Source organism: Homo sapiens, chromosome 9 (assembly GCF_000001405.40).
Source record: "Homo sapiens chromosome 9, GRCh38.p14 Primary Assembly".
NCBI classification, from domain to species: domain Eukaryota; kingdom Metazoa; phylum Chordata; class Mammalia; order Primates; family Hominidae; genus Homo; species Homo sapiens.
In genome coordinates, this window is record NC_000009.12 from 115,903,923 (window position 1) to 115,930,710 (window position 26,788).

Consider the following 26,788-nt stretch of genomic DNA (forward strand, 5'->3'; position numbering starts at 1 on the left):
TAAATGGAATACTTTATATCATTATAATTATAATGTTCCTTGACCTCTTTCAACACACACAAAAAAACCCACAGAAGTTCATTAAAGTGGCTAAAATATACAGGACTAAAGACAATTAGAATTTATTGAATTATCAATAGAACACATTAGATATTTAATTTTATCAAGCTGTTAGATGTAAAGTGGTCTGTCACTGTTGTTACGTTTGTTTCTGTTTTGGATTGTTCATTTTTACTTTTCCCTTATTACTGATGAGGTAAATCATATTTTTATATTTTTAGGCCATTATAAGCCATTATGTTTTCTCTTCTGTCAATTGGCTATATATAACCTTGGCTCATTTAAATTGACATTTTTATTGATTTTTAAGGTTCTTCATATATTATGGGTACCAACCTTTTATCTATCTATGAAATACTTTACAATAAAAGATTTTTAAAAGACTTACCTGTAACAATCTCATTATTTATTTTGCCCAAGAGACGTATTCATTGTTACTATTTTCTTTTTTGTCATTGAAGAAGATGATGATGAGCAATAAGTAGCAAGTTCATTACATAGGTCACATCCCTGCAATCTAGATTCATGGATGGATGAGTCTGCATACACCCACTTTTTTCACTGAAGGAAGAGCCCCAGTTGCTGGTTCTAGAGATCTCCTTCATCTTATCATCTTTCTTTGAGGAGTACAGGTTGCTTGTGAATCCACTAACACAGAGCCTTTGGGAAGAGGAGTAGGAGAAATAAAACCAGAGACTAATTAAATTCAGCATATCTTTGTTTTTTGTCTGTTTTTTTTTTTAAATATAATTTTGTCTTATTTTTTGTTGAAGTGCAATCAATAAATATTGTTCAGTATATATTTAAGGTGCACAATGTGATAATTAGATAAATGTGTACATTGTGAAATGATCATCAACATCAAGCTAATTTATACATCTGTCACCTTCTTTCATGTGTGCGTGTGGTGAGGATACATAAGATCTACTGCCTTAGCACAATTCAAGTATACAGTACAGCCTTGTTAACTACAGTCACCAACATTATTACGCTGTGTTTGAGATCCCCAGAAGTTATTCATCTTAAAGCTGAAAGTGTGTACATTTTGAACATCTCCCTATTTCTCCCACCTCCTACCCTTTGGCAATCACCTTTCTACTCTGCTTCTGTGAGTTTGACATTTTTACATTCCACATGTAAGTGAGACCATGCAGAATTTGTCCCTCCGTATCTGGTTTATTTCACTTAGCCTAATATTCTTCACGTTCATCCCTGCTGTCGCAAGGCAGGGTTTCCTTCTTTTTTTCTGGCTGAATATATTTCATCGTGTATATATGCCACACTTCTTTTATCCATTCATCCATTGACAGACACTTTGGGCGTTTCCATATCTTGGCTATTGTGAATAATACTGCAATTAATGTGGGTGTGCAGATATTTCTTTGGCATCTTAAGTGCATTTCCTTTGCAATGGAATTAATAGCCATAAGTGGGATTTATGGAGCATTTTTTTAGTGGTTTTACTATTCATTTTTTGAGGAACCTCCAAACTGTTCACCTTAATGGCCATGCCAATTACACTCTTACTAATAGTGTAAGGGTTCCCTTTTCTTCATACCCCCACTAACACTTGCTATCTCTTGTCTTTTCAATAATAGCCATCCTAACAGGTATGAGGTAATATCCCAATGTGATTTTTATTTGCAATTCCCTGATGATTAGTGCTGTTGAGCACTTTTTAACATACCCATTGGTCACTCATATGTCTATTTGTGAGAAATATCTATGCAAATCTTTTGCCTATTTTTAATTGGCTTGTATGTTGTTATTTTGTTTTGTTTTCTTCTTAGAGTTTTGCTAAGTTGTATGAATTTTGAATATATTTTTGATATTAATTCCTTATCAAATGTGTAGTTTGCAAATATTTTCTCCCATTCTGTGGATTGTCTTTTCATTTTGTTGATTGTTTTATTTGCTGTGCAGAAACTTTTTAGTTTAATATAGTCCCATTTGTTTGTTTTTGGTGTCTGTGATTTTTTGTGTCATATTTTAAAAAATCATTGCCAAGACCAAAGAGATTTTTCCCTAAGTCAAAGAGCTTTTCCCTTATGTCTTTGTGTAGACATTTTATAATTTCAGGTCTTACATTCTTTAATTCATTTCTAGCTACGTTTTGCCTGTGATATAAGATAAGAGTTCAGTTCTATTCTTTTACTTGTGGATATCCAGTTTCCCAACACCATTTATTTAAATACTGTACTTTCATCATTGTGTATTATTGGAGTTTTTGTCAAAGATATGACCTTATAGGCATGGGTTTATTTCTGGGTCCTGTATGCTGTACCATTGGTCCATATGTCTGTTTTTTTAATGCCAATGCCATATTTTTGCAATTACTATAGGTTTGTAATATAGTTTGAAATCACAATGTATGATTCCACCAGCTTTGTTCTTGCTCAAGATTGTTTGGTCTATTCAGGGTCTTTTGTGGTTTCAGGTGAAGTTTAGGACTGTTTTATCTATTTTCATGAAAAAAAAAAGCCATTAAAATTTTTATATGGATTGCATTGAATCTGCAGCTCGCTTTGGGTAGTATAGATATTTTAACAATATTACTTATTCCAGTCCATGCACATAAACATCTTTCCATTTAGTTGTATCTTTTTCAACTTCTTTAATCAATATCTTATAGTATTCACTGAACACATCTTTCATTTCCTTGGTTAAAATTTTTCCAAAGTCTTTTATTTTATTTTTTGATGCTATTGGTAAATGACAATATTTTCTTAATTTTTTTCAAATAGTTTAATGGTATATATAAATGCAACTGATTTTTGTCAGCATCTCTTAATGAGGACACTGAGGAAGGGACAGAAGAACTGATATATAAGCAATAACTGCAATAAGAACACAAATTTTCTAGACAAATTGAGATTTATAATTTGCAAAGCACTTCATATTATTAGATCTTATCTCATTGGATCTTCCTAGAAATAGCCTTAGTATTTTCTCTGTTTCACAAAGAGGGAAATCAAGGTTTGGAAGAGTGTCTAACTAAGTTCATACAGCTAACAATTAGCAAGGCAGGGGTTCAAAATTATTATCTTCTAGTCCTAGATCCTTTTGTCTGTTATTTGAGGGCAGATATATTTTAATGAACTGGCATATAAGCTGCCTATGCTAGAGCTTCAATTCACTAACGGAACCACAAAATACATTTTATAGTGTAAATTGCTTGTCCTGTTAAAATTGCATTTACTTTCCCAACTTTTAAAAAGTGAAAGGATGAACACAAAAGCCAGTAAATTAAAAGTAAAATTCTCTGCAAGCTGACCTGATACATGAGAGTCCAGATGTTCATCAACTACTATTAAAGGCCATTTACACAAGAATTTCTTTGCTCCACACAAGCAACCACATGAATTATCATTGTAATAACAATAATAATAATAATAATAACACTTGCTTTATTCATTCTTCACTAACGAGCCCTGGTACAGAAGCCAAACAGAACATTTTACTTCCCTCAGGTACACATTTTGATATATGTATTTTGTTTTCTTAAGAGTTGTCATGAGTCCTTTAAATTGTCTGAAAGAGACTTCTAGGATAATGACAGCCAATACAGGCTAAATTTTGCATTGTTACATTCTCACAAACTGTCACCAAATGCCTGGCTCTGTGAGGCCTTTGTTGATCTTGGGGTCCACTCATAATGCTGCCCTTCAGAACCTGAATAAATTCAGATGCTCAGCCACAGCTTCCAGAATCCATTTCTCTCAAGTCCCATGGTCCCATGGTAAATATCTTTTTTTTTTTAATGTCCCCTTTTCATTTTATTTTTGCTTATTGAAATACCATGTTAAGATTTGGCTCAAATAAAAACTTAAAGCCTTTTTCCAATACTGTTCCTTCCCTTTTGCATGTGCAAATGTCACTCTGTAACTCATTGCCATCAGCACACTATACCAGCTGCTTGGGAATGCTTTACCTGCCCTATGAGCCTGGAAGTTGCTTGAGGGAAGGGACTGATAGATCAGAGACAGCCTTTTGTAAGCCTAGACTATGTTCATGTTAATGCTCTTGCTCTCTGTTAAGGGCCAGAGTCATATATGCTGCAGAGGATGTGCTGTGTTTTCCTGCACGTGGGTGCTGGGGCGGGGGGATGCAGCTTCTGTTGAGGCTCTGAGTAGCAAGCGATGACCATAAAGGCATTTTACCACACCCTTCTCATCACCTCAGCAATCGGAAACACTGATCCCAAAGGAAAGACAATCATAGAGCACTCAGGGCAAAGAGACAGAGTGCTCACTCATTCAACAAATATCTGTTGGGCATCTTCCATGTGCCAGATACTGTCTCAGGGGCTGGGGATAGGAGGCTAGAGGAGGGCACAAGACTCATGGTGCTTATAACGAGAGGATAGATATAGACAATCCATCAAATAAATAAGTGAAACGAGACACATGTTTAATGGGAGAAATCATATACAAAAAAAATTAAATAAGATGACTATAGTTAACATTAATTTGATTGTACCATTCAAACTAGCTAGAAGAGAATAAGTTGAATGTTTCTAGCATAATGAAAAGCTAAATATTTAAGGTGTTGGCTATCCTAATTACCCTGATTAGGATTATATGAAGGTATGAAATTATTACATGTACTCCCAAAATATGTACATCAAATATGTATCAATATAAATAAATAATAAAGCAGAAAAAGGAGACAAGAGTTCAGTGGGAATATTATATAAGGTGGTCAGAAGGGGCTTTCTTGAGAAGATGTCTTTGGAGCAATGACCTGAAGAGGTGATGAAGTGATCCAGGCACCTATTTATGGTACCTTACCTCTAGTCAGAGGAATGGCGAGTGCAGAGGCCCAAGGAGAGAGCAAGCGTAGCATGTTGGAGGAGGGACAAAGAGTCTAAGATAGTTGATGTGGAAACAGAAAGGAAAAGGTTATTGACATCATGGAGAGGCAGATTGGAGAGGGATTTGTAGGCCATTTTAAGGACAGACTTCCAGTCTGAGCAAGTTGCAAAATTTAAGAGAGTTTTAAGCTAAGGAGAGCTGTTATCTGATTTATGTTCTAAAAAAGCTGCTCAGTCTTCTGCCTTGAAACTAGGGGAATGGGGTAGCAGCAAAGATATTATTAGTTAGGAGGCTTCTGCACTAATCTAGCAAAATACGATGGCATCTTGCTGTGGAAGGGGGATAAATGGATTGATTCTGTATTCATTAACGGATTGGAGATGGTAGGGGGATGTTGAACAAAAGAGGTCAAAGGTTACTCTAGCAACTGCAGGTTAGAACGGGCACTTCATGAGGTGGGGAAAACTACTAGAGAGCAAGTTTGTTTATTTGCTGTATATGTGGAAGATAAAAGGTTGGGTTGTAGTCATGTTAAGTTTGGGATGCTGATTAGACATACACAAAGAAATACTGATCAGGCAGTTCATTTAATAAACAAATCTGAAAGTCCAAGAAACAAGTCTGGGCTAAAAAATAAAACATTTTATATTTATCTGCAATAAGAATGCTTTTTCACCCAAAAATATTAAGCCTAGATAAGAAAGTGTCCAAAGACGAAGACCTGGGCATTTCAATATTAAGAATTCCAAAGAAAACTAAGGTGTGAGCAGAAAGAACAAGAAAAACAAGGAGAGTTTGATGTTGTAGAAATAAGCAAACATAATATTTTAAGGGAAAGCCATTATAAGGTGGTTATAGCTTCTCAAGAAAACATAGTTGGTTGTTTGGTCCTTTAAGGCTGCTGCATCTCAAAACAGCGTGACAAAGGTAGGATAGAAAAATGGAAAAAGAAATGTGTCTATCAACGTCCTTCTCGTGTTCCTGTTTTCCATTGACAAAAGTCTTCCTGGTGGGTAGATTCCTGGTTTGACTCTACCAAGTATCATCCAGGTGAATGTGAAAAGGATTTTACCACCCAGCCTGTGTATGCGGCCAGAGGCTCCATGGATCCCATCAAGACTGGAGATTCTCGGGCTCTAACTGCAGTGGTCCTGATGGAGGCCATGACCAAAACTAGTCCCTCACCCAGGAAAAGGTGAAAGCTGGGCTTTGTAACCGTCAGGATAGTTTGAACCACCTGTGGTGCTATTCTGGATAGCAAACAAGGCAAGTGGATGAGCTTCAGGAAGCATTTAACACCAAGTAGATGTGGAATGTGTTTAAACTTGGTCAGTTTCCTCTGTGAAGGGAGGAGAAGTCATTCGCTGCATTGCTGTTTTCTTTCTCAATTCCACCAAAACAAACTCTTACTTGTCTTTCTTGCTTAGTCATATATCGTGTCTTTCATAAAGCGTTTCTAAACAATTTCAGCCTTTCTTCCTCTTTTCTATCTCAGTGCCCGAACTGATCAATCAAGGATTTTATTTTCAATTTTAAAATTCTGGGAATCCAGGTTTGATTCTACCAAGTATCAGCCAAGTGAATCTGAGTAGACCATTCTTCCTTTCTTTACATCATATCAATTTAGTACTTTGTGTAAGCTAGAGGAAATTATATTTGCTTGCAGTATCACCTAAGAAGATCATTAGGTTACCACAGGTGATAATACTTGATAAACCATAACATTGTGTCCATCATCATCATCATCATCATGATTCTATCTTTGTTTCCTGTGATTGAGACCTTGAGGCCAAGAATGACGCGTCTTCTTTTATCTGTCCCCCAAATTTCTAGTGCAATGATAAGCCACTCAGTGACAACTATTGGCCTAAACAAACTTGGAAAAGAAAAAAAAATACAAATCCTTTGCTTCATATTCTTTGTGGAACTTGGTTAGCCATAAATAAATAAATAAGCATATGAAAATAAATTACAAATCCAACTGTGTGCCTTGCCCTGAACTCTGTGTTTGACGTTAAAAACCAAGCCTCCCTCTTTTAAAATTGAAATATGAAACATTATGTGTGCTTATTTTTTCCCTTTTAAATACAGAGCTGTGGTTGCAGAAATAATTTAATATACTGCACTGCATTTCCCCTGCAAGTGTGCCAATTCTGATTACATGTTTCCAGATGCCCTTGTTTGTTGTGGTTCTTTCACTAGTACCTGGCCAAGGAGCTGAATGGCTTATCTCTATAGGTAGCTCTGGCCAGCAACACTCAGCCAGTAGGTGCTCTATGTACAAAGAGCACCCGCGGGATCATTCACCCTGAGGTCAGCATTCTGGAGTCCTCTGGACTCCCAAGCTCAGCACCTGTACTTTATGTTTAAGAGCCAAGAAATTGAGGAAGAAGTTGAACTAGCCAAGATAGTCCAGCAGCCAACAAGCCTAAAACAGATTTAATAAAAGATCTCATTCCTTTCCACCATGTTTTTGTGAGATATTTCATGGGAATTGCCACTTGGGAGGTGCATGCAGCCAACCTGGAGCATGGCCAACCACAAGCTTAAGGCTTTCAAAGGCTGACTCCTGGTCTATATGCAGAAAACCTCAAGGAGTGGAGACTGCTCCCAAAATTCTCCAGCCCATGACCTTTTTGCAACAGTGTGAGAGTGGGCACTAGAAAGTATATTGTTTGAGTACATAGATTTACATTCTAATTGAAATGCAACAATTTATTCACTATTACCTTGGACAAGTCCATTTTTCTCTGCAGGCCTCACTCAGTATTCCCATCTCTAAAATGAGAGGCCTCAGGTATCTAAGGCACTTTGCAGTTATACTCTTTTGTAATATGCTCTGTGGAGTCAAACAACTGTGTTATATGGCAAAAACAAAAAAAACAAAAAAAAGCCCAAAAAAAAAACAGGGCTCAATTTTGAGCCACACATCCTGGGTTCCTATCGGCTGTAGTTTTTACTACCTTCTGGCTACATGATTTTACCCAAGTTTTCCCCTCCCTGAGCTTCAGTTTCCCGAAATATAAAACAAAGAAGGAACTGAGCAAACACACCAAGCTCCATTTTGATATTCTGGCATCCTAGTTCACTGTACTCCTTGGTTTTATATCGGACAGCAAGGCTGTATCCTATACCCCATCATCTGCCACATCTAGAGAAAAAGAAACCTGTGAAAACTTCCAAGGGGCAATCAGAGATGCTCTCTTTAAACCCTCTCACCTCAGAAACGCTCGAAGTTTGAACTTCTCTCCCATAGTCCCTTTGCTCAGGAGAAAAGATTAAGGCATAGTCCTAGCTATAAGGATGCAGGAAAATGAGCTGCCTTGAGGTGTATCAAAATCTTCGCCTTCTACTTTTGGTTTTGCACTTACCAGTGTGTACTGGGGAGTGGCGGTAGGGTTAAGACTCAACATTTACTTCCTGAGTTTTGCAATTATTAAGTGTTGTCAGCTTTACACATGCATTCAGTGTCCCAGTTACATTTGGGTTCCAGCCCAAACACATTTGCTCTGGTTGCTCCCATTGCCTAGAAAACCTATGTGTCTTCTCTTGCCCAGTGCTCTTCAATAGCAGATAATCATGATCATACGATTACTGCTAATAATAATAACAATAATAAAACAGCTATCATTTATTAAGTCATCATTATGTGCATAATAGCGCAGTGTGATTTACATACATATCTCATCTCTCCTAAAGTTGGACTCTATGTAAAGATTTTTTGGTATCTCTCACCTTGCCTAGGACAAGAAGAATGATAGGCACTCAAGAAACGATAGATTCAATTATCTCATTTAATCATCACATTGGATCAGAGGAAAATATGTCAAGAGATGCTCAGAATCTTCTCAAGGTCACACAGCTAATGTAAATGTCAGAGCTAAGATTCAAACAGAAGTCTGCAAGATCATAAATTTCATCGGGATCTGTATTGCAACAAAGTACCTGCATAAACTTCAAGCTTTTTTTTTTTTTTTTTCATCTCTCAGGGAAAAAGGCATCAGGTTGTAATGAGAGCTGGACAAACTGGGAATAGCTAGTAAAAGTAACCTGGACATCGAAGTTTCTACGTGTGTGTTTTGTTAGAGAAATTGGAGGGAGCAGTGTACATGGTAGCAGAGGAATTGCTGGTCAAATACCCTTTTCTCTTCCACTTGAAAGGCCTCTCTCTTTTAAGTACATATTGATTAGAGTCCAAATATCTCAATTCTATTCTTAGCCCAGCACCTTAATTACAATGGATTCTCAGTTAAACCTGATGGTTCAGTTCCCCACCATCCTCCACTCCAAACTCCTTTTAACACAGAGATCAGAATAATGCATCAGAATGGCTTTCTTTTTTAAAGAAGTGATGATCTATGAGAAAAGTGTATTAATAACATTATATTCATGTTAAACATTTTAACCTTAATGACCCAGAGTCATTTTTCTTGGCAGACAAAATCTCAATGCCTAATTTAAAAAACAGAGTTATATAACATTTATGGTTAAATAATAATATTAATAACAACAGCAACAACAACAATAATAATCAATTTTAAGGCATTTGCTATGTAGCAGGCACTATGCTAAAATAATTATATGCATTATTTCATTAAATACAATCAACATCCTATATAGTAATTACCATTATTATGTTTACTTTGTAAAACTTGGCCTTAGAGAAGTGAAGAAATGTATCCATGGCAGCTAGTGAGTGAAAGAATTTGCAATCTTTCTGGCCCTGGAGTCTAAGTTCTTAATTATTAACATAAACTGATCCTCCTAGTGAGAAACAGGATGGTGTTTCAAGAGCTGTAAGATATAGATTTGGGACTCAGAGGGGTTAACTCCCAAAGGAAACAGACATAATATGAGTAGAATAAGAAAATGCACATGTGAGTGCTTTTGATTTTTTTAAAGGATTAGAAAAATCTAAGCAACTGCGCTGTATGTCATAGAATTTTACGTCAGGGACAAGGAGACCTCCATGACCACCAGCAGCAGACCTTAATGCCTCTTTCACTTGAATATCACTTTATAGTTATCCGGCAAAGCTTAATCCACAGTACAGTTGCATAGTTTCTTGTGAGTAGCTTAGTCAGACTTGGACACTGTAGTGCAGAATGCCTAAGTGTTTGGCTTCAGATCAGAAAGTAATACATGGAAGTGCTAGGTGTCAAATCTTTGTCATTCTGTTCCAGTTACAGGATTCTTTCTTACAGATAAAAAAGAGTTTGATGAATTTTAAGCATCTTGACAAAAAGTACAGTTATTTGGTAGCATTGTCAAAATGGTTTTTAGAGACACTGGGGAAAAATCAGAGAGCAAAAATGTGTTTTGGATAATTCATCAGAAATATTATAACAACATTTAGGTCTTTCAAAAGGAGCTGCACACTATTAAATGCACCAAATCATGACCAGCAAATATGTAGGTTTTCTGGCTTTCGAGGACTGAAATTATGTAGCTTTTACTGAACGTGGGGAAAAGGATCCAGAATTTTCCTTCTTCAGAAATACTCAGGAATAAAATCACAGAAGATTTGGAGGTCAACGACTTCAGTTAAAATCTTGAACAGTTTTCTCTACAAGATTGTGAGATCCATCACTAGATCCTTTTGGGATACTAAAGCTGAGTTATGAGTACGAATTTAAGCAATGGGAACCACCCTGTGTGTGTACATCTATGAAAATGTTCGATCCAAATGGAATCCAGATCACAGGGGCGGAATACGTCTGAGAGGCAGCATTGTTACTTATACCACAAATCATTATTTTTTTCTTTCCATTTTATAAATTCCACTCCAGGATGAAACATTCAAGTTGTGGAAACATTCAAGATCAGTTTCTCTTAGTGGCTATCATGCACATACTGAAGCAAGATGAAGACTGGCCTTGAGTCATCTTGTGGAAGCTCATTTGGGGTGTCAATTCCAGGCTTGTGTTTGAAACAGGATTTGGGGACGTCAGTTCCAGGCTTCTGTGTAACTTAGATTTTTTTGTGTGTATGTTTTTTATTCTATCCTGGTGATGTTTTCCAGACTGAGTCCACTATTGTGGTTTCTATAGAAAAAGAGGAGAGCTGGAATAATAATACTCCATGATGTACGTGGTTTCCTGCTCCATGTGTGGAGTTAGAAAGTGAAGAGGAACGAACGTAACATAGTGTGGCCTACTGCAGCAGAGCAGGGGCTTAGGGAGAGGCTTAGAAATGGCTTTGGGAGGGTAGGCCCTGAATTGTGTGTTGGCGGAGAGGCTAGGATAGTCAAAGCATCACACTTTGATTGCCTTCTCTACCTGTCTCCCTGCTATTCCTCAAATATGACAGGCATCCTCCTGCCTCAGGATCCTTGCACCAGCTGTGATCTCTACTCGGAATACTCTTCTTCAAAGCTGACTCCCATAACACCTACAATGCTCATTCAAATGCCATTTTTTTCAGTGAGGCTCACTCTGATCACCCTATTTCAAACTGCAATTTGCATCCTCCCTAAAGCCTTGTTTTTCCCATACTTACTCCTTTCTAACAAACGTGTATATTTATTTAAATTTGTTTTTAGTTCCCTTTTAGAAGGTATGCTCTGAAAAAGAGAGGATTTCCATCTACTTTGTTCACTGATAAATCCTAAGCACACAGAATAGGGCTAGCATAGGGTATAGGCACTCAAATATTTTTTAAATAAGTGGTTAATTTTTTTCATATTGTTTCCTTTAATTACTTTTTTATCACATTATGATAAAAAATGTCATAATATAAAGCCTGTCAATGTACTTCCTTTTAAAGTTATTTTTTTCTGCTGGGCACGATGGTTCATGTCTGTAATCCTAGCAATTTGGGAGGCCAAGGTGGGCCTATCACTTGTAGATCAGGAGTTCAAGACCAGCCTGCCAACATAGCAAAACCCTGTCTCTACAGAAAAATACAAAAATTAGCCAGGCCTGGTGGCACACGCCTGTAATTCCAGCTATTCGGGTGGCTGAGACCGGAGAATTGCTTGAACCCAGAAGGCGGAGGTTGTAGTGAGCCAAGATCATGTCACTGCACTTCAGCCTGGACTACAGAGTGAGAACCTGTCTCAAAATAAAATAAAATGAAGTTATTTTTTTCAAAAGGTACCAATTTAGTAAACATGCTCAAGGGATACAACTGTACCTACGCCCAAGTCATTTTAGTTTTACAAATATATAATTAGTCAAATCAAAAAAGGCATGTCTGACAGATGAATGAATGTTAAGACAATGCTAAATAACCTTTAAGGGGAAAGGCTGAGGAGGCAGAGGTGCTTGTATGTATCATCTTCCAGGAGCCAGGCATTGACAAACACCACTATTACAAATAAAAGCCTGAGATTCTGAAAATTTAAGTGACTTATGGAGGTTACACAGCTAATAAAAAGAAGCAGTATGATTTAGATTCATTATTCCTGACTCCAAATCCTATGATTTACTGCAACATAGTGTACTATCTTCAAACTGTAAATTCTTCAGAAATGGTTATTGTAGATAATTTACATGTTGGATGCAGTAGTGTGCCATGCAGTTACCTTTCTTCAGGACTAAGGGGCTCCTTTTCCCTGATGTTGGGATTGCTGTTCACTATCAGCTCTCCAGCTACCAACTGCCCTCTACTTCAGGGAGCCTCCTCACCCTAGGTCACACCTCTTCCCAGGGCCAGCCCATATCCAGTACTCTTCAATGTGGGGTACAAAAACATGGCCCCCTTGCCTCATGTGGAACAACTCTGAAGGCCATCCCAGCTCCAGTGATTCCAGTGGGACTGATGGAAGTCTCTGTTGTGACTGCATGAGACCCAACTCTTCCCTTTGCCCAGCCCTAGTGCCTTCACACTCCCACAGGTGTATCTTACAAAAGCACCCCTTGATGAACTTCTGACACACAAATCTCAGCCTTGGAGTCTGTTTACAGGGAGCCTGATCAATGTCAATATAGTAGGTGGTATTGTGGAGTTCAGAGATTAGTGAACTCAACAATACGGGTAGCATATACCTTAGATAAGGTCCCAGACCATGCGCAGTGTTGGGAACGCCTAGTTTCACAAGATTTGAGGCACTCTCTCCTAACTGCCAGAAGCACTTTGGCAAAAACAACTATGATACACAATTTCACCCTTTTGAGATCACCTGTTAACTTGACTACCTTGGTAGTACATCACCAATTTGACAGTTCTATTTGTCCATTCTCACATCGTGATAAAGAAATACCTGAGACTGGGTAATTTATAAAGTAAAGAGGTTTAATTGGCTCATGATTCTTCAGGCTGTACAGGAAGCATAGCAGCTTCTGTTTCAAGGGAGGCCTCAGGAAACTTCCAATCATGGCAGCAGGCAAAGAGGGAGCAGGCATCTTACACGGCAGGAGCAGGAGCATGAGAGAGAAGGGGGAGATGCACACTTTTAAACAACCAGAACTCACAGGAACTCACTCGTTACCATGAGAACAGCACCAAGGGAATGGTGCTAACCCATTCATAAGAAATCTACCCCCAAGATCCAATCACCTCCCACCATGTCCCACCTCCAACATTGGGGATTACAGTTCAACAGGAGACTTGGTGGGGGGCAGGAGGGGATGTGGACACAGATCCAAACCACATCAACAGTCATCACAGCCAGCAGGTAACTTACTCTGAAAGCTCCTACATTCAATAAATAAGACCAACTGTGAGCTGGGAATTAATGATGCATTACAAGAAAGTCAAAGATGCATAAACTTAGTTCTATCCTCAAGTAGCTCTTAGTTTAGAAGATGATTCTCTAACTTTTGTTCACCAGAACCACCCAACAAGCTTGTTAAAAATTCTCATGCTTTGTCTTGGAATTGGAACTAAGAATGATTTCTGCTGGGTTCTAATATTAATATTGTGATACAAGTTATTCATGAACCACTTGTGGAGAAACTGAAATCCCAAAGATGACATAAAACATACATTGCTAGGTCTAACCTTACTAAGCACCAGATACTGTGCTAGAATCTGTGAAGAATTTTATTTTTATTTTATTTTTTTTACTATTATTATACTTTAAGTTTTAGGGTACATGTGCACAATGTGGAGGTTAGTTACATATGTATACATGTGCCATGCTGGTGTGCTGCACCCATTAACTCGTCATTTAGCCTCAGGTATATCTCCTAATGCTATCCCTCCCCACTCCCCCCACCCCACAACAGTCCCCAGAGTGTGATGTTCCCCTTCCTGTGTCCATGTGTTCTCATTGTTCAATTCCCATCTATGAGTGAGAATATGCGGTGTTTGGTTTTTTGTCCTTGCAATAGTTTACTGAGAATGATGATTTCCAATTTCATCCATGTCCCTACAAAGGACATGAACTCATCATTTTTTTATGGCTGCATAGTATTCCATGGTGCATATGTGCCACATTTTCTTAATCCAGTCTATCATTGTTGGACATTTGGGTTGGTTCCAAGTCTTTGCTATTGTGAATAGTGCCACAATAAACATACGTGTGCATGTGTCTTTATAGCAGCATGATTTATAGTCCTCTGGGTATATACCCAGTAATGGGATGGCTGGGTCAAATGGTATTTCTAGTTCTAGATCCCTGAGGAATCGCCACACTAACTTCCACAATGGTTGAACTAGTTTACAGTCCCACCAACAGTGTAAAAGTGTTCCTATTTCTCCACATCCTCTCCAGCACCTGTTGTTTCCTGACTTTTTAATGATTGCCATTCTAACTGGTGTGAGATGGTATCTCATTGTGGTTTTGCTTTGCATTTCTCTGATGGCTAGTGATGATGAGCATTTTTCATGTGTTTTTTGGCTGCATAAATGTCTTCTTTTGAGAAGTGTCTGTTCATAACCTTTGCCCACTTTTTGATGGGGTTGTTTGTTTTTTTCTTGTAAATTTGTTTGAGTTCATTGTAGATTCTGGATATTAGCCCTTTGTCAGATGAGTAGGTTGTGAAAATTTTCTCCCATTTTGTAGGTTGCCTGTTCACTCTGATGGTAGTTTCTTTTGCTGTGCAAAAGCTCTTTAGTTTAATTAGATCCCATTTGTCAATTTTGTCTTTTGTTGCCATTGCTTTTGGTGTTTTAGACATGAAGTCCTTGCCCATGCCTATGTCCTGAATGGTAATGCCTAGGTTTTCTTCTAGGGCTTTTGTGGTTTTAGGTCTAACATGTAAGTCTTTAATCCATCTTGAATTAACTTTTGTATAAGGTGTAAGGAAGGGATCCAGTTTCAGCTTTCTACATATGGCTAGCCAGTTTTCCCAGCATCATTGATAGACCGCTAGCAAGACTAATAAAGAAAAAAGGAGAGAAGAATCAAATAGACGCAATAAAAAATGATAAAGGGGATATCACCACCAATTCCACAGAAATACAAACTACCATCAGAGAATACTACAAACACCTCTATGCAAATAAACTAGAAAATCTAGAAGAAATAGATAAATTCCTCGACACATACGCTCTCCCAAGACTAAACCAGGAAGAAGTTGAATCTCTGAATAGACCAATCACAGGATCTGAAATTGTGGCAATAATCAATAGCTTACCAACCAAAAAGAGTCCAGGACCAGATGGATTCACAGCCGAATTCTACCAGAGGTACAAGGAGGAACTGGTACCATTCCTTCTGAAACTATTCCAATCAATAGAAAAAGAGGGAATCCTCCCTAACTCATTTTATGAGGCCAGCATCATCCTGATACCAAAGCCAGGCAGAGACACAACCAAAAAAGAGAATTTTAGACCAATATCCTTGATGAACATTGATGCAAAAATCCTCAATAAAATACTGGCAAACCGAATCCAGCAGCACATCAAAAAGCTTATCCACCATGATCAAGTGGGCTTCATCCCTGGGATGCAAGGCTGGTTCAATATACACAAATCAATAAATGTAATCCAGCATATAAACAGAACCAAAGACAAAAACCACATGATTATCTCAATAGATGCAGAAAAGGCCTTTGACAAAATTCAACAACCCTTCGTGCTAAAAACTCTCAATAAATTAGGTATTGATGGGACATATCTCAAAATAATAAGAGCTATCTATGACAAACCCGCAGCCAATATCATACTGAATGGGCAAAAACTGGAAACATTCCCTTTGAAAATTGGCACAAGACAGGGATGCCCTCTCTCACCACTCCTATTCAACATAGTGTTGGAAGTTCTGGCCAGGGCAATTAGGCAGGAGAAGGAAATAAAGGGTATTCAATTAGGAAAAGAGGAAGTCAAATTGTCCCTGTTTGCAGACGACATGATTGTATATCTAGAAAATCCCATTGTCTCAGCCCAAAATCTCCTTAAGCTGATAAGCAACTTCAGCAAAGTCTCAGGATACAAAGTCAATGTGCAAAAATCACAAGCATTCTTATACACCAATAACAGACAAACAGAGAGCCAAATCATGAGTGAACTCCCATTCACAATTGCTTCAAAGGGGATAAAATACTTAGGAATCCAACTTACAAGGGACGTGAAGGACCTCTTCAAGGAGAACTACAAACCACTGCTCAATGAAATAAAAGAGGATACAAACAAATGGAAGAACATTCCATGCTCATGGGTAGGAAGAATCAATATCGTGAAAATGGCCATACTGCCCAAGGTAATTTATAGATTCAATGTCATCCCCATCAAGCTACCAATGACTTTCTTCACAGAGTTGGAAAAAACTACTTTAAAGTTCACATGGAACCAAAAAAGAGCCTGCATCGCCAAGTCAATCCTAAGCCAAAAGAACAAAGCTGGAGGCCTCATGCTACCTGACTTCAAACTATACTACAAGGCTACAGTAACCAAAACAGCATGGTACTGGTACCAAAACAGAGATATAGATCAATGGAATAGAACAGAGCCCTCAGAAATAATGCCGCATATCTACAGCTATCTGATCTTTGACAAACCTGAGAAAAACAAACAATGGGGAAAAGGATTCCCTATTTAATAAATGAATCTGTGAAGAATTTGAAAAAGCATGTGGAATGTAGTCCATAACCATAGACTATAGTCCAAAGTATTTAAAGACATTTAATCTACTAGGAGTGATAATATTCCAATAAATCTATATCTGTTTTATAAAAAACCATTACATATTAGATAACATGCTAGCCTCCAAGGCAGCACAAAGGTAAAAATACATGGTTCTTCTCCTCAAAAAGTTTCATTAGCGTTAGGTAAGAATAATTAATTTCTGCCTTCACTCATTTACCTATTTGACCTATTTGTTGCATCAATTAATTCATTCCTTTATGCATTTAATAAATATTTACAAAATAGCTGCTAAGTGAAATGTGCTATCATGATGGCAGGAAAATATATGGTGAGTACCTACAGAAAATACCAATATCACCAACATCATACTATGGGAGGGTTGACACCTTAGCTTGCATACATTTTTCAATATCTAAGTCTTGAATAACTAAAATGCTTCCTATGGCAATGAAATGCAGTCATCTTAAGGTAGTAATCACTGTTAATATATGTGTAATTGGATAACCCTAATTCACTTTAGCTTGAAAAATCTGTGGCAGGGAATTGGTGGTAAGAGTTTTCTTTGGTTTGGCTGATTCAAATGAACCATTTTTGAATTTGGAGAATTTCGTAATCACTAGCCTGACTGGCCCACACTAGCAGTTTTCTGGATTTCTAGGAAAATCTCTGGTATGCGTCATAGTGAAGAAGTGTTCCAACAAAAAAAGGGGATAAATGAAGAACCATAATCATTTAGAAAGAATTCACCGAGAAATAGAGGTCTGCGTGGTGTAACTAAGAATTGCACAATGCTGTTGCAGGGCATGCGGGATGCATGACAGGTGGGGCTACCTGCTCTTCCCCCTCGCCCTCCCGAGGCATCACGGTGAATCAATCTGAGTTCTCATTTCTTTAGAGCACAGTTGGATCACAGACTGAAAACAGACTACAGACATCCACTACCAGTTAATTAGAATTGGCATAAAAGATGTTATCTAGTTTCCATTCCTACTGCTGCCATTTGGATTTAAGAGTGTGGAGATTGGCCAGGCATGGTGGCTCATGCCTGTAATCCCAGCACTTTAGGAGGCCGAGGTGGGTGGACCACCTGAGGTCAGGAGTTCAAGACCAGCCTGACCACAATGGTGAAACCCCGTCTCTACTAAACACAAAAAATTAGCCAAGCCTGGTGGCAAGCACCTGTATTCCCAGCTACTTGGGAAGCTGAGGCAGGAGAATCGCTTGAACCCGGGAGATGGAGGTTCCAGTGAGCCAAGACCACGCCATTGCACTCCAGCCTGGGCAACAAGAGTAAAATTCCGTCTTAAAAAAAAAAAAAAAAAAAAAAAAACAACAACAACAACAAAGTGTGGAGATTTTGAATTTAGGTCCAGTTCTACCAACCGGATATTTCCAGATATTTTCAACTGACTTAGTTTCTCTTGATATCAGCTCATTAGTCTTTCTAGTAGATTACCTATCTAACTAATGCCCCTGTGTGTTTATGAAGATCAGGGCAGAAAATAGGTGATTCAGCATTGAGGAAAGAAAGCGGGCAAAGGCTAACCTGCTCATGAATAACAGGGCTTTGTTTGACATGGTCCCTGACTTCCTCACTTCTGTGCCTTCTCTCCACTGGATGCCCCTGCCCACCTGCAATCTACCTTTTGGCCATTTTGAACTACTATCATTTTCCTGAACTTCTATTATTTTCCTTTCACTTTATCACTTAAATGCTATAAAAAATGCTGTTTTCTTTGTCCAAATAAACATCTCCCTATTCTCACCTCTTTCTTCACCCCTTGCCAAATTCAGGACTACTTATCACTTGACTACACAATGTACTGAAATTCATTCTTTAGCTTTCATGTCCCGTCCTCTGACGTTCTCGTTGGTGGCATCAGTCTGGGTCATACCACACATACCACATCCTTCCACCACTCCCTGTAGTACCCTTATCTCAGCAAGAGCCTTTAACTGTATCTCTTTTGTAATACACATTTTATGTAATAAAATTACATGTTAGATTTTATAGAGCAAAGAATAATTTAAAAGAAACTCATAAAAAACAATGAAGGTTTGGTTATACATTTATCCCATTACCATTTACTAAGTCACTTCTGTATGCCATGAAATGGAAAAATTAGGAAGAAAATAGCACCACCTCTCCCATCAAAGTGTTCACAGCCTAGTTAATAGAGACAGACTCAAAATATTTGACTTTAAAATAATGAGGAATTGGGTACTAATCATTTGTTCATATTAATGGGATACCTACAGACTTCATCTTTTCAGGCTGCTATGACAAAATATTAATAGCTTAAACTGGATAATTAATAATCAACAGATTTTGCTGCTTATATTTATGGAGGCTGGGAAGTCCAAGGTCAAGGCACTAGCAGATTCAGTGTCTGATGAGGGCCTGTTCCTCTTAGATGGCACTTTCTGTATCCTCACATGGTGGAAGGGGCAAGATACCTTTCTTGAACCTTTTTTATAAGGGCACTAATCCCATTCATGAGGGCAGAGCCCTAAGGACTTAATAACTTCCCAAAAGGCCTCACCTCCTAATGCTATTGTATCATGTTGGATTCTAACATGAATTTTGCAGTTTGGGGGAGTCACAAACATTCAGACCATAGCAACTACTATATGCCTGGCACTGTTCTAGGCAGTGGGGTGTACAGGTAAGCAAAGCCAAGCCTCACACTCAGTGAGCTTCTATTACAGATCTTTCAGTGAGGGAAATCTGAAAAGCCATGAAGTTTACAGGAGGAAAAGCCTTATTCTGCCTATGGTGGGAGTTTAGATCTGGCTTTTATGAGGATATGACATGTTCACTGCGCCCAGTAGAGCAAATGCAGTACTAACTCTTAAGGGTGAAGGAATGTTCATTTAACTATGGAGCATCTAATGCATGATGAATGTGGTTGTAGGAGCAGAGTTCCTGTCATGAAGTAGGTATTTGATAAATGTATCATATTTGGATCAATAACCCAAATCCAAAAATGAGTACTCATTTGAGGGTCCCTTCCCTCAAGGATCATGCAGTCCAGTGGAGAAGTTCATTCACTCTCATTCACTTATAACATTATGGTGCATGAAAAGAGAAGCCAAGAGTGGAAAGAATGGAAACTCTAAAACTCATACATTCCTCTCCTATCACCATCCTCCCAAACATCCGCTAGTCCCTCTGTTTCCTCCTCTGAAAACTTATACTGTTCTTGGGAGTTCTGAGTTGTCTGGTGTATCTGTTTCTTTTGCTGGGTGCTTCACCTTGGCTTCCTCCCAAATGCCTCCAGCAACTGTTTATTTTTATAAATGTTGTATACACAGGGCAGAAGATAGAGAAAGGGGTGAGCCAGAGTCATTTACGAAAGCACTTTGGCATTCTGCTCTGGAAATCATTTCCGCAGGAGGCTGCCCTGGACAGAGTGCACTTACTCTCAGACCTCCCATCCCCACTTCCAAGCAGAAGTCAATGCAATTTTTATTTACAGTCAGAAGCTCCATGAAATTCTGAGCCAAAAGGCTTCTTTCCTGAAAAGCTGGTAGTGGCCTCCAACATTCAGCTATCACCTTTAACAGGAACTCTTTGTTGTTTGCACCAAACAAATAACCAGACACCTGGGTCAGAAGCAGAATTAAGGACCTAATTCGTCTCCATCCATGGACATTTAATGGACACCTACTCGTGCAAATACTATCACAGCCACTGAGAACACAAGACATAGGATCCTAAAAGAGCAGGAAGAGGCTACTTTTATTGATGACATATCATATATTGTCATGATTTACATACATAAAAAAGATACTATCATTCTGCTTTACAGATTGGGGAAAGGAGGAAAGAAGGAAGGGGATGGAAGGGAAGGGGATGGAAGGGAAGGGAAGGTAAAGGAAGGGAAGGGAAGGGAAGGGAGTGGGAGAGGGAGAAATGGAAGGAGGGAGGAACAGAGGGAGGGAGGAACAGAGGGAGGGAGGATTTGAGGTTCTGTAACTTGTATAAAACCCATAGCTGATGAATAAGCTTTCTACTCATTTTCTCTTCATCACTCTTAAATCACAGTTTCACCTTCACTCTCCACCAAAATTGTTGTTATCAAGGTTATTATATATAAACCTAATTATTATAATGATTGACACCCACATTGCTAAACACAAAAGTCAAACATCAATTCTCATCTTGGTTTGCTGATTAGCAACATATAATACAGTTGACTGCCTCCTTGTCCTTAAAATGCTTTCTTCACTTGGCATCTGAGACATCTTACATGATCTGTTGATTTTCCTGGTGCTTCACCACCAGCACTTTCTCAGTCTCTTTAGCTGGCTTCTGCTTCTCAGCATCATCTTCTGCTATTGAAGTATCTCAGAACTCAGCCCTTGGACACCCTCTTTGCTTTATATACATTCACTCTCTTGGTGACCTCATTCCGTCTCATGCTTCATATCCCACCTGCATACCAATAGCTCAAATTTCCTCTATTCTGTACCACTTCTTTAAACTTCAGCTTGATATATACAACAGCATACTTGCTATCTCTCCTTGGGTGTCTCAAACTTATCATTTTCAAAATTGAAGTCCCCATTTTTCTCCATTAAACCTACTCCTCTGATGGACTCCCCAATTTCAGTTCATGGCAACTTCATCTTTCCCGTTGCTCGGAACAAAAAGCCTCTTTTGATTACACCCCACACCCAATCTGATGGCAAACTGGTTTGTGTTACCTCCCAAATACATCCTGGATCCAGCAATTTCTCATCATCTGCCCTGTGACCAGCCTGCTGCAACTCTCAGTCTTCTCTCACCCAGATTACTTCTTGGAGGCTCTTCCTTTGTATTTGCCCCATACAGCCTGGTCTTAACTCAGTCACCAGTGTGATCCTAATAAACCTGTTAGACTTGTGGTTCCGGAACTGACAGCTCTCCAAAGGCCTCTCGTTTTATTCAGAGTAAAATCCAAAGACCTTAAAACAACTGACAGGACCATACTCCCTGTTCCCTCCCTGAACTCACCACTTATACCCCACCCCCATCCCTGCCACTCTGCTCTGGCCACACTAGCCTGCCTGCTGTCCCCTCTGTCTGAAATTCTGTCCCCCAGAAACCTACACGGCTGATTTCCACATCTCCTTCAGGTCTTCACTCAGATGAGACTTTCTCAGCAAAGACGTACCTGACCCCTTTTCTTAAAATTAAAATCCTATCCCAACGTTTATTTTCTGTTTCCCTCTCGTGTTTTCTTTTTCTCCATAGCACTTACCTCCATCATGTATTCTATATATCTTATTTATTTTGTATATTTTATCTCATTTCCCATACTAGAAAGTAAGCTCCTACGGGCAACACTGGTCCTCTCCACTGATATATATGTAACTAATCTAATAATACATAAATAATAAATATTAATTGACAGCGAATAATTGTGAGACATATATCTCACAGCACTTTAGAGAAGCATATGTCATGAGTATGGGACCTTCAATTAATATTGATTAAGTAAATAAATCCACACAAGAAAGAAAAAGAGAGGCATCACTGAGGCTTGGCATAAGCAAGGAGGGCTTTGTGGAGAAGAAAATAAAAATAATTTTTGAGTACTTACTGCGTGCCAGATACTATGCTAAGTGTCTTAGAGCTATTATCTCATTAAACCCTCTTAATGACTCTGTGAAATAAGTTCATAAAATTATTGTGTCCATTTTACAGATTAGAAAACTGTTGTGTCAAAAGGCTAACTCACTTTCTCAAAATCAGTGCAACAATTTATATAAGAGGCCAGGAGCCAGACCTTTATCTCTCTGGTTGCCAACCATGGGGTACCATTTTAGAAATCTCTTTTAGATATGAAACTATCCTACTTGAATTAAAGAGAGAAAAAAAATCAGACAGTTACATTTGAAAAGAACAATTAAGTGTTTATTAATATATTTCTTTGTTTATTCAATAACTGTTATTATTAGTTCCTTATAGCAATTTATTATACTGTGTGCTGTACCCATAGGACGGAAAAATGAATGAAACATTGCCTGCTCACAGTGAGCTTACAATCTAGCGCAGCCTAGTTAGCGTAAAATTATCAGTATTTTAACAGCTTTGTGCTTTAAGAGCACAGAGGAGGGAGCAATTGATTTCCTTAGGGATGTAGTTATACAAAGAATATCTCAAAGACAGATGGCATCTAAACATAAGCCTACAGAATGGATTAAACCATTGCTAAATGCAGAAAGTGGTCTTCAGGCAGAGGCTGTAGCAAGAGTATGAGATCTACTCAAGGAAAAGAGCTTAGCAGGTAAAAACAAGGAGATGAAGATGCCTTAAGGGTGGTAGGAAGCCATTGCCACGTTTAATCTAGGTTGTGGGTTGGTCAGATCTGTGCTTCATTGAGGTCACTCTGACAGCCATCAGGGAAGATGGATGGCAAGGGATAAAAAGGGAGACAGGATGCTGGGTTAGGGGCCTTGTGACATCTGGGAGAAAATGGTGAAAACAGTTGATATGATTAGGCTTTGTGTCCCCACTCAAATCTCATCTTTAATTGTAGTCCCCATAATCCCCACATGTCAAGGGAGAGACCAGGTGGAGGTAATTGAATTACGGGGGCAGTTTCCCCCATGCTGTTTTCATGATAATGAGTGAGTTATCATGAGATCTGATGGTTTTATAAGTGTTTGATAGTTCTTCCTGCATTCATTCTCCTTCCTGCCACCTTTTGAGGAAGGTGCCTTGCTTTCCCTTTGCCTTCCGCTGACTGTAAGTTTCCTGAGGCCTTCTCAGCCATGCAGAACTGTGAGTCAATTAAACCTCTTTCCTTTATAAATGACCCAGTCTCAGCAGTTCTTTATAGCAGTGTGAAAACGGACTAATAGAAGTGCTAAGTCGGAAGAAGTGAGAATGATGACTCAGATATCCATGCTTAGAGAATTAATCAGTTATTCTCAAATTTGGATGTCCATTGAATGACCCAGGGAGCTTTAAACAACTCTGGGACCTCGCACACAGCCCAAACCAATTATATCAGAAATTTTGGGCATGGAGCAGAGTATCAATAGCTTGTAAGGCCCCACAGGTAATTCTAATGTGTAGCTAAGTTTGAGAATCACTGGTTTATGAATTACCGGGTCTGGATGACTAGTTGGCTATGACTGGGAAGGAAGGAGGACATAAAGATAGATTTTCTAGCTCACATGACCTGGGGAAACGCTATTGGTTTAAGGTCTTGTCTCTGGAATCAGAGTGGCTACAACAGGTGCTTGATGGTAGCCTTGGGCAAATGACATACTTCTTGCCTAGAAATAATAGTAAACTCACTGTATAGAATTACTGTGAGGATTAAATGAGATAATGCACATAAAACACATAGCATGGTGCCAGAAACATGAGTGCTCAAAATTTTTATTGTATAAATTAATTATGGTAGGCAAGAACAAGTCTATAGAAAAAAGTGTTTTTCAGATGAGTGATATTAAGTTTGGTTCTCAACATGTTGATTTTACAGTGTCTATAGGATATCTAGTAGTTGTTTGGAAATAATAATTGGTGTTCAAAAGGGAGTTCAATACTAGAGGTACAAAATTGGTGTAGTTCAGTGGTATTGTTTAAATCACATAAATATATCATTCAGGGAAAGGGTATAGTGAGATGAGAAGGTGAAAGACTAGTATATCAGTTAGTTCTAATTGTTCTAAGCCTCAGGTGTCTTTGCTGTAGAGTGAAGATAATAGTATCCTGTTTTACAGCATTTGTGTGGTAATTAAATGTGATGATGCAGGTAAAAAACATTAAAAATATGAGGCATCCAGAGTGCAAGAAGCGAGATGAGAAGAAAGGGAAACAATTTTCAGAAAAGTAGTTGTCAAGGAATAAGAGTTTGAGACTTGAGGGAATGATCTTTCATGTTAAATATACAAAATAAATAATTCTGGGACTTGGTGTTCCCTTTGGTCTTACGAACCCTTGAATTAAGGGGTATTTAGATAAGTATTAATTTATAGTCCAACTTTAAATATGAGCTTCCTAGCACAGAAAACAAAGAGGGAAATGCAATTAGTTACATGATTAAAATACTGCTTCCCATGAAGAAACAGTTATTTGCCTGTTTTGAAGCTGGAAATCAGTTTTGTTCCTAGGTCCTAATTGAAGGAAAAATGTGCAATATAATGGCGCATACCCTCTTCAATATCTCTAAAAAGCTTTTAAAAATGAGCTTTATGAGGCTGCTTCTCATAAAGTCTCTCTGTTTAACACTACCCCATAAATGCATATTTACTAGGGACCAAATGATAATATTGTTTAATAATACCATAATGATGAAATAAGCTACCATTTAGCGAGCATTTATTATGTGTCAAACACTGTGCAAAGTATCCTATTTACATTGTTCTGATGCATCACCAGAAGAGGAGAGAGGGCAAGTGTTATCCATGTTTTCCATATGGAAAATCTGAGGTTCCATGAGACTAAATGACTGCTCAAGCTTAAACCACCAGTAAGTAGTATGGCCAAGATTTAAAACCAAGTCTACTCACCTTCAGGGCCTGTGCTTTTGATACTGCTCTGCTCTAGCATTTAACCTACTGTTTTGTAAACATGGTTTTTTTGTCTGTTTGTTTGTTTGTTTGTTTGTTTTCTGAGAAGGAGTCTCACGCTGTCGCCCAGGCTGGAGTGCAGTGGTGTGATCTTGGCTCACTGCAACCTCTGCCTCCCGGGTTCAAGTAATTCTCCTGCCTCAGCCTCCCGAGTAGCTGGGATTACAGGCATGTGCCACCACGTCTGGCTAATTTTTTTTTTCTTTAGTAGAGATGGGGTTTCACCATGTTGGTCAGCTGATCTTCTCCTGGACCTCCTGACCTTAAGATCCACCCGCCTCGGCCTCCCAAAGTGCTGGGATTACAGGCTAGAGCCACCACGCCCGGCCTTGTAAACATTGTTTTTAATTAGAGTGGTTGAGGTGGAAATCTACTGATTTTATTGATAAGGAAAAAGAGGCTCTGAGAGGTCGGAAGTTCTAGGATCCTGTGACTTTTTTGACAGCGGGTACCATATGCTGAGCCCCTTCCAGCTGCCATTTTATTACATTCTGCCCTGTCGGATATAATGTTGGTTGACATGAACACAGAACATAGGTTCTTATATTCCAGCTTTGTTATGGACAGAGGACATTTTCAAAAAAGTATGGAAAATGCCAAGCAGATGATTTAGTCATAACTCCTGACCTCTATGCTATCAAAAAGAAAAAAAAAGATACTACTTTCTAGTTTTCTTTCTGAACAAAGTACTAGTTTTACTTTTTTTTTTTTTTTTTTTTTTTGAGACAGAGTCTCGCTTTGTTGCCAGGCTGGAGTGCAGTGGCACAATCTCTGCTCACTGCAACCTCTGCCTCCCGAGTTCAAGCGATTCTCCTGCCTTAGTTTCCCCAGAAGTTGGTACTACAGGCATGCGCCACCGCACCCAGCTAATTTTTGTATTTTTAGTAGAGATGGGTTTCAGCATGTTGGCCAGGATGGTCTTGATATCTTGACTTTATGATCCGCCAGCCTCGGCCTCCCAAAGTGCTGGGATTACAGGTGTGAGCCAACGTGCCCAGCCCAGTTTTACTTTGAAGATGAGTCAATGGCCAATGAGAGAAGACTAAGTGGAGGAGTCTTCACCCAGCCCATCAGTTCAGCAACACACAATAAGGGCACTTTCTCTCCAGGGGTGCAACACCAGCCATTGCTGTCTTGAATCATTTTCCCTTAGCTCTCACAATTTATATTCTCTGTCTCTCTTTGGCTACAAAGAAAATCCCCCCTGCACTTCAAACAGCAGAGGTCTGCCAGATACTCCACCCTCATCAATCTTCATTTAAATGCCAGCAACATGACCCTATGAATAAAGGTGGTGAGTTAATAAATCAGCATCTTTTTAAAGAATTTTCTTTTAACTGACACAGGGAATTGGAATGACCACCTTAGAG

At 38.7% G+C, this 26,788-nt stretch overlaps 1 long non-coding RNA gene across 1 annotated transcript in view; it reads right to left on the reverse strand.

Annotated features, from left to right (window-relative positions):
• Positions 1-21,285, reverse strand: part of LINC00474 (long intergenic non-protein coding RNA 474) — a 37,046-nt gene extending 15,761 nt beyond the window's left edge. Inside the window, exons 1-2 of the long non-coding RNA NR_024032.2 lie at positions 21,101-21,285; positions 449-720 (exon numbers count right to left, since the gene is read on the reverse strand). This is a non-coding gene — a long non-coding RNA (long intergenic non-protein coding RNA 474). The remainder of the gene's footprint in view (positions 1-448; positions 721-21,100) is intronic.
• Positions 21,286-26,788: the final 5,503 nt, after the last annotated feature.